Source organism: Homo sapiens, chromosome 19 (assembly GCF_000001405.40).
Source record: "Homo sapiens chromosome 19, GRCh38.p14 Primary Assembly".
Classification (NCBI taxonomy): Eukaryota; Metazoa; Chordata; class Mammalia; order Primates; family Hominidae; genus Homo; species Homo sapiens.
The window spans coordinates 54405000-54414232 of record NC_000019.10 but is presented as its reverse complement, the minus strand read 5'-3'; positions in this window follow the sequence as shown (position 1 = coordinate 54414232).

Below are 9233 nucleotides of genomic sequence, written 5' to 3'. Positions count from 1 at the left end.
ATTATGATGATGATGGTGGTGGTGATGGTGGTGACGGTGGTGATGATGGTGATGGTGGTGATGATGTTGGTGATGGTGATGGTGGTGGCGATGGTGGTGGTGGTGATGGTGGTGATGGTGGTGGTGATGATGGTGGTGATGGTGATGATGTTGGTGATGGTGGTGGTGGTGGTGATGGTGGTGGTGATGTTGGTGATGGTGGTGATGATGTTGGTGATGGTGGTGGTGGTGATGGTGGTGATGATGTTGGTGATGGTGATGGTGGTGATGGTGGTGATGATGCTGGTGATGGTGGTGATGATGTTGGTGATGGTGATGGTGGTGATGGTGGTGATGATGTTGGTGATGGTGGTGATGGTGGTGATGATGTTGGTGATGGTGGTGGTGATGGTGGTGATGATGTTGGTGATGGTGGTGGTGATGGTGGTGATGGTGATGTGGTGATGGTGGTGGTGGTGATGGTGGTGATGGTGGTGATGATGCTGGTGATGGTGGTGATGGTGGTGATGATGTTGGTGATGGTGATGGTGGTGACGGTGGTGATGGTGGTGGTGGTGGTGATGGTGGTGGTGGTGGTGATGGTGATGGTGAAGATGAGGATATGATGATGATGATAGTGATGATGATGATGGTGGTGAAGACAAGATTATGTTGACATGTCATGATGATAATGATGATGATGATGGTGGTGATGATGGTGATGAGGACGATGATGATGACGGTGAGGAGGAGGATAGTGATATTGGTGAAGGTATTGATGATGAAATGGGAGAGTGAGAATAGGCGCCTTATCTCTGTCTCTCTCTCTCTCTCTCACACACACACACACACACACACACACACACACACACACACACCCTCTCTCATCACTACCCTAGGTCTTCTTCAGCTTTCTCTGGTTCTGGCTAGAGTCATGTTCTCCACCATTCCCAACCAGGTGGCCTACATGGGGCTTGGGGATGAAGAAGATCCCGAGATGAGCGGTTAGAGGTGTATTAAGTGACTCTAGGCAAGTAGTTTTTCATCTTAGAGTCCCTCTTTTTCTGTCTGTAAAATGAAGGCTTAACCCTTTAGGGCTAAGATTAGTATATTCTAAAACTCTTGTTCTGACAATCTCTTGCATCATGTCCACAGCCAGTGTTTGTTGTAGCAGCAGGATTTGCTAATGGGAAGAATTCCAAACGTCATGATGTGCACAGTTGGGCATGTGTACATCAGAGTGCAGGACAGTGAGGTGCTGGTGGTGACTGTGCAACCCAATAGAGCTCAGTGGCTCCACGTTGCCCATAGAATCAAGTCACACCCTCAGCCCTGAGTTTATACCCTCCATCATTTGGCCCTGCATCAGCCCTCTCCATATGGATAATATTCTAGATGAGTGGTTTCCAACTGATAGGGCCACAACCCACAGTGAGAAATACATTTTACATTATGATCTAGTATACACACACACACAAAAAAAAAAAAAAAAAAAAAAGTAAAAAGTTTCTGACCACTATGTGCAATGCTCTTGGATAATTTCTATCCTCTGTTACTTCTATTTTGTAATTCAAATCTGGTCACAACCTTCTAAATTGTTTTGTGGCTGGCTAATGGATCTTGGATTGCCACCTGAGAAACATGAATCCTGAATTGCAGAGAACAATCTGGGTTGGTGTTAGAAAAGGGGTAAGTGGGGGCCAGGCGCAGTGGCTCGAGCCTGTAATCCCAGCACTTGGGGAGGTGGAGGTGGGCAGATCACTTGAGGTCAGGAGTTCGAGACCAGCTTGGCCAACATGGTAAAACCCTGTCTCGGCCAGGCCCAGTGGCTCACGCCTGTAATTCCAGCACTTTGGGAGGCCGAGGCCAGTGGATCACCTGAGGTCAGGAATTCGAGACCAGTCTGGCCAACATGGCGAAACCTTGTCTCTACTAAAAATACAAAAAAATTAGCCTGGCATGGTGGTGTGTGCCTGTAATCCCAGCTACTTGGGAGGCTGAGGCAAGAGAATTGCTTGAATCCAGGAGGCGGAGGTTGCAGTGAACTGAGATTGTGCCACTGCTCTCCAGCCTGGACAACAGAGCACGACTCCAACTCAAAAAAATAAACAAACAGGCCAGGCATGGTGGCTCATGCCTGTAATCCCAGCACTTTGGGAGGCCAAGGCGGGCGGATCACGAGGTCAGGAGTTCGAGACCAGCCTGGCCAACATGGTGAAGCCCCATCTCTAGTAAAAATACAAAAATTAGCTGGATGTGATGGCACACTCCCATAGTCACAGCTACTCGGGAGGCTGAGACAGGAGAATTGCTTGAACCTGGGAGGCAGAGGTTGCAGTGAGCCGAGATTGTGTCATTGCACTCCGGCCTGGGTGACAGAGCAAGACTCTGTCTCAAAAAAAAAAAAAAATACCCTGTCTCTACTAAAAATACAAAAAAATTATCTGGACATGGCAATGTGTGCCTGTAATCCCAGGTACTCAGGAGGCCAAGGCATGAGAATAGCTTGAACCTGGGAGGCAGAGGTTGCGGTGAGCTGAGATTGTGCCACTGTACTCCAGCCTGGGCGACAGAGTGAGACTCTGTCTTAAAAAAGAAAAGGGGTAAATGTTACTAAGTAGAAGTAAGTTATATTGGCTTCCAGGGGGAGCTCATTGCTTTGTTCTTGCTGCTGTGTCCTCAGCATGCTGCTTTCTTACATGAAATACACACACACACACACACACACACACACACACACACACACACACACACACCCCATAGTCACCACATATGCCATTCCCCTTCATTCCCCTAGAAAAAGACTTTAAATTGATGGACTCTCTCTCTCTCTCTCTCACTCTCTCTGTCTCTCTCTCTCTCTGTCTCTCTCTGTCTCTCTCTGTCTCTCTCTCTCTCTTTGTTTCTCTGTCTCTGTCTTTGTCTCTCTCTCTCTGTCTCTCTCTGTCTCTCTCTCTTTCTCTCTCTATCTCTTTGTCTCTGTCTCTCTCTCTGTCTCTCTCTGTCTCTCTTTCTCTCTCTGTCTCTCTCTTTGTCTCTCTCTGTCTCTCTCTGTCTTTGTCTCTCTCTCTCTTTGTCTCTCTCTCTCTGTTTCTCTCTCTCTCTCTGTCTCTCTTTGTCTCTCTCTCTGTCTCTCTCTCTCTCTCTTTATCTCTTTCTCTCTCTCTCTCTGCTTTACTCTGGCTCTTTCTGTCCCCACCTCTCTGTCTCCCTCACATGTGTTTTGGGCCCCAGAAGGCAAGCCTCTTTAGAGAATGGCTTAGCCTGCATCGATTAAACCCAGGACATCCATCCTCCTGCATGGGACATCTGCAATGCTGCCTGACAGAAATGTATTATCTCTACCTTCTCCGGCCGTGGTTCCCTGGGTCTGTTTCTGCTGAGGAAAACAAACGGTCATTCCAGGTGGCCCTTGGGTATTTCTAGAGCCCTTGGCTGAATACCACCCCTAAACCATCTCAAGCTCTGCAGGTGTTCATTCATGGCTTGGGACGCATGCAAACCCCCTGGTAGAGGGTAGCTCAGAGAACATGGCTGTTGCTATTTCGTTTCAGCCAACGCTTGCCATATGGGAAGAGGGACCTGGCACCACCAGATGTTCCAAATTTCCAAGAGAAGGCAGAAATCTGGATATTTTTAAAAGCAAAATCCCTCAGCTTTTAAATGTTAAAACTAATTCAAATGAAAAAAAAATGCTGTGTGGGCCAAATAAAACCTGTCTGTGGGTTGGAGCTGGCTGGTTTATAAGCTCTGGTCTAGCCAGACATGGAGTAGTACAGGCATGAAAGGGACAAGTGGAGAAAGAGGGGCCCACAATGAGACTGAGAAGGAGCAGCCACAGGGATGGGAGGGAAGATTGGGGGAGGCAGTGATGCTGCCTCCTCCGGGAAGGCCTCCTGACCAGCTTCTGCTGACAGAAGGCAAGGACAGCTCCTGGCTGAAGGACTCAGCATGTGCTTCCCACGGCTTAAGCTTTGGGAGACTTGCCTGCTTAACTGAGTGGCTGTAAGAATGCCAGGAGAGATTTCCAACTGCTTGGTCCTGTGCCTAGCACATAGTAGGTTCTCAATAAATCAGGACCATGTGTGCTGTGCTAACAGCTGTGCTTCAATGATGTATCTGTTCCCCACACACGTATTGAGTGCCTACTATGTCCCAGGCACTGCTGCATGTTCTGGAGAAATGGGCATAAGCAAAAAAGACAAAGTCTCCAGTTGGCACAACTAAAACCGCTGGAGTACAGAAGGTAGAAAATTGAGGAATGAACAGGTGAGCTGAGTCTATACTATCAGGTAAGAGGAAGCAACACATAGATGTGAGTGGATGTGGTGGGGATGAGGTGGTCACTACTTTTTTTTTTTTGAGACAGAGTCTTGCTCTGTTGCCCAGGCTGGAGTGCAGTGACGTGATCTTGGTTCACTGCAACCTCCACCTCCCCGGTTCAAGCAATTATCTGCCTCAGCCTCCCAAGTAGCTGGGATTACAGGTGCCTGCCATCACACTCAGCTAATTTTTTGTATTTTTAGTAGAGACGGGGTTTCACCATCTTGGCCAGGCTTGTCTTGAACTCCTGACCTCATGATCCACCTGCCTCGGCCTCCCAAAGTGCTGGGATTACAGGCGTGAGCCACCACGTCTGGTGGTTGCTACTTATATAATAGAAGGTGCTCAGGGAATGTCTCTCTCTCCATTTGGATGATATCTGAACAGAGACACAAATGAAGGACGCTCTTTAGTTCATGATTGGCATGACTAAGAGTTCATGCTTTGCAGCCACATTATCTGGTTTCAACCCTGGCTCAGCTCCTTATTAGCTCGGTGACCTTAGACAATTTTCTCAACTCTGTGCTTTCGGTTCACATAAACAGGATGAAAATAATAACCTTGGCCAGGCTCAGTGGCTCATGCCTGTAATCCCAGCACTTTGAGAGACCAAGGCGGGGGGGATCAGCTGAGATCAGGAGTTCGAGACCAGCCTGGCCAACATGACGAAACCCAGTCTCTACTAAAAATAACGAAAATTAGCCGAGCATGGTGGCACGTGCCTGTGATCCCAGCGACTCAGGAGGCTGAGGCAGGAGAATCGCTTGAATTCGGGAGGCAGAGGTTGCAGTGAGCCAGGATCGCACCACTTCACTCCAGCCTGGGCAACAAGAGTGAAACTCTGTTTAAAAAAAAAAAAAAAAGCAAGAAAGAGCAACCTTAACCAATTCCACAGGGTTGTTGTGCAGATCGAGTGAACACACGGGAAGTGTTTGCTGACAAAGTGCTTGACAAGCGCTCGCGAATTATTACGAGGGTGACAGTTGTTGATTTTTAAAAATGACTACAGTGACATCTGCCAAATAGAAGGAAAGCAAAGTGAAGGAATTCACAAGTACATAAGAAAATGACCGGAAAAGGCATAAATACGTAAAGCTGTTCAGCCTTCAGATGTTCAGTCATCCTTATGATCTTTCCCTCCCTCCCCGCCTCCCTTCCTTCCTTCCCTCCTTCCTTCTTTCCTCTTTCCCTCCCTCCCTCCCTACCCCTTCCTGCCTTCTGGCCTTCCTTCCTTCCTCCCTCCCTCCCTCCCCCCTTCCTCCCTCCCTCCCTCCCCCCTTCCTTCCTCCCTCCCTCCCTCCCTGCCTCCCTCTCTTCCTTTCTCCTTCCTTCCTCCTTCCTCCCTCTCTTCCTTTTTACCTTCCTTCCTTCCTTTCCTCCCTCCCTCCCCTCCTTCCTCCCTCCCTTTCTTCCTTCTTTCCTTCCTCTCTCTCTCCCTTCCTTTCTTCCCTCCTTCCTTCTTCCTTCATTGCTACCTTCCTTCTTCCTTCCTTTTCCCCTCCTTTCTTTCGATTACATGTTTAATAGCTGCCAGGCTGTGTTAAGTAAGCCCTGGGATCTATTAATAATAAAGAAGAATCCATACATTCATTGGTTTGTTCATTCCCCAAGTATTTATTTATTGGACAGCTACTAGGTGCCAGGCATTGTTCTAGGCCCTGGGAATTCAGCAGTGAACTAAAGGGATGAAAATCTCTGCTTTCACAGAGCATGATAGAGATAACTCATTAGGCAAATGAGCAAATATGCAGATATAGCCAGTTTATTAAATAAGCTGATGTCATGGTTAACTTTATGCGTCAACTTGACTGGCCTAAGGGATGCCCAGATAGCTGGTAAGACATTATTTCTGGATGTGTCTGTGGGGGTGTTTCTGGAAGAGGTGAGCATTTGAATCAGTAGACTGAGTAAAGAAGTTCTCCCTCACCAATGTGGGCGGGCCTCATCCAATCTGCTGGAGGCTCGAATAGAACAAAAAGCAGAGGAAGGGCGAATTCACTGTGTTTTCTTAACTGGCGCATCCATTTTCTCTTGCCCTAGGACATCAAACTTCCTGGTCCTCATGCCTTTAGCCTCAGACTGAATGACACCACCAGCTTTCCTGCTTCTTCAGCTTATGGACAGCACGTCGTGGGACTCCTCAGCCTCCAGAATTGTGTAAGAAAAGTTCTCATAATAAACCTCTGCTGGTATCTCTTTATATATCTCTTTGGTTTTCTTTCTTTGGACAAATCTGACTAATAGAGCTGCATTCAACCACAGTGAAATACCAACAGCCCAAAGCAGGCCTGAGATCCAAAGATTCCAGGAATGAAGCACCCGAGTGTTATCCATTATTGATGAGAGAGTAAAGGGTACAAACCCTGTAGGAAAAGGCCTGGCAGCTTCTTACAAATCTAAGCCCACACCTATCCCATGACCCAACAATTCTACTCTTTTTTGTTTGTTTGTTTTTTAGACGGAGTCTCACTGTGTCACCAAGCTGGAGTGCAATGGCATGATCTCAGCTCACTGCAACCTCTGCCTCCCAGGTTTAAGTGATTATTCTGCCTCAGCCTCCCGAGTAGCTGGGACTACAGGTGTACACCACCATGCCTGGCTAATTTTTGTATTTTTAGTAGAGATGGGGTTTCACCATGTTGGCCAGGCTGGTCTCAAACTCCTGACCTCACGTGATCTGCCCACCTCGGCCTCCCAAACTGCTGGGATTACAGGCGTGAGCCACCACGCCCGGCCAACAATTCTACTTTTACCCAAAAGAAAAGAAAATATTTATCCACACCAAGAATTTTGCAAGACTGTTTACAGCAGCTTTATTCATAATAGCCTCAGGCTAGAAACATCCTGTATGCCTATCAACAGGGGAATGGACCAAGATAGGTAATATAGCCACAGAATGGAATACTACTTAGCAATGAAAAGGCACAAGCTAATAATGCATGCAGCAATATGGGTCGGTCTCAAAATTATTGTGCTGAGTGTCAGAAACAAAGGAGGATGCACTGTATGAGTTCAGTTAGATGATTTTCCAAACAGACAGAATTAACATATGGTAGCAAAAATAATAAAAACAGTGGTTGCCTCTGGGTGAGTAGGGTCAGGGTGACTGGGAAGGGGGCTGGGGGAACTTCCTGGGATAAAGGGCCTCGTTCTGTATCTTGATGAGGGTTCGTTTTGTACCAGTGTCTGCATTTGTCGCTCACTTAAGATTTGTGAATTTCTGGCCAGGTGCGGCGGCTCACACCTGTAATCCCAGCACTTTGGGAGGCCGAGGCAGGTGGATCGCCTGAGGTCAGGAGTTCCAGACCAGCCTGGCCAACATGACGAAACCCCGTCTCTACTAAACATACAAAAATTAGCCAGCTGTGGTGGTGCATGCCTGTAATCCCAGCTACTCGGGAGGCTGAGGCAGGAAAATCGCTTGAACCCAGGAGGTGGAAGTTGTAGTGAGCTATCACACCACTGCACTCTAGCCTGGGAGAAAGAGTGAAACTCCATCTCAAAAAAAAAAAAAAAAGATTTGTGCACTCCACTCTATAAAAATTTTACTGAAAAATGTTAATGAGGTGCATGCTTAGTATTGGGAGAAAGTGTAGTGGTGTCTGCAGTCTCTTTTTGAAGTTAATCACAAAAGAAAATAAGACGGATGGATGGAGGGATAGGTAATAAGGCAAAGGAAGATAAATATTAAGCAAGGTACAGTGGCATGAGTCTGTGCTCCCAGCAACTCAGGAGGCTGGTGCAGGAGGATCACTGGAGCCTAGAAGTTCAAGGCTGCTCTGTGGGTATGATTGCACCTGTGAATAACCACTACACTGTAGCCGGGACAACATAGCGAGACCCTGTCTTAAGAAAGAAGAAAGAAAGAAAGAAAGAAAGAAAGAAAGAAAGAAAGAAAGAAAGAGAGAGAGACAGAGAGGGAGGGAGGGAGGGAGGGAGGGAGAGAGAGAGAAAGAAAGAAAGAAAGAAAGGAAAGAGAGAGAGAGAGAGAGAGGGAGTGAGTGAGTGGAAGGGAAGGGAAGGGAAAGGAAAGGAAAGAAAGAAAGAGGGAGAGAAAGGAAAGAAAGAAAGAGGAAAAGAGAAGGGAGAGAAAGGAAAGAAACAGAGAGAAAGGAAGGAAAGAAAGAAAGGGAAGGAAAAAGAGAGAGAGAAGGAAGGAAGGAAGGAAGGAAGGAAGGAAGGAAGGAGAAAAGATTAACAGTAGACTAGAATCCAGGTGATAACTATCTAGGTTTTCACTGTAATATTCTTTTTTTTTTTTTTTTGAGGCAGAGTTTTCACTCTTGTCACCCTGGCTGGAGTGCAGTGGCACCATCTCAGCTCACTGCAACCTCCGCCTCCTGGGTTCAAGCAATTCTCCTGCCTCGGCCTCCCGAGTAGCTGGGACTACAGGTGCATGCCATCACACCCAGGTAATTTTTGTATTTTTAGTAGAGATGGGGTTTTGTCAAGTTGGCCACGCTGATCTTGAACTCCTGACCTGAGGTGATCCACCCTCCTCGGCCTCCCAAAGTGCTGGGATTACAGGCGTGAGGCACCATGCCCAGCCTGCATTGCACTTTTTTTTTTTTTTTAAATATGGGTGAGACGCTCTCTCCTGTTGTCCCGCCATGACCCCTGAGAACTAAGCTCTGATTTTTTTATCTTGCCCAAATTCCTACCTAAGGCGTTTGAGGAGTCATGCCTTACAAACCATAAATTCTCATCAGATGGGTTGTATTTAATCCTCTATGGTGTGACTTACTTTCCAATCTGACTCTGGCATAGCATTACAACACAAGGAAGAAAATAAAAATATTTTACCCCAAAACATGTTTCTCTGCCATATTTTGAAATTGCCCTGCAAAGTCTCTTGTGGGAAAAATCCACATTCTTTACAGAACCCCGTTTCTCCTTTGTTTTCCCTTCTTCCTTTCCAGGCCCAGGAGAGC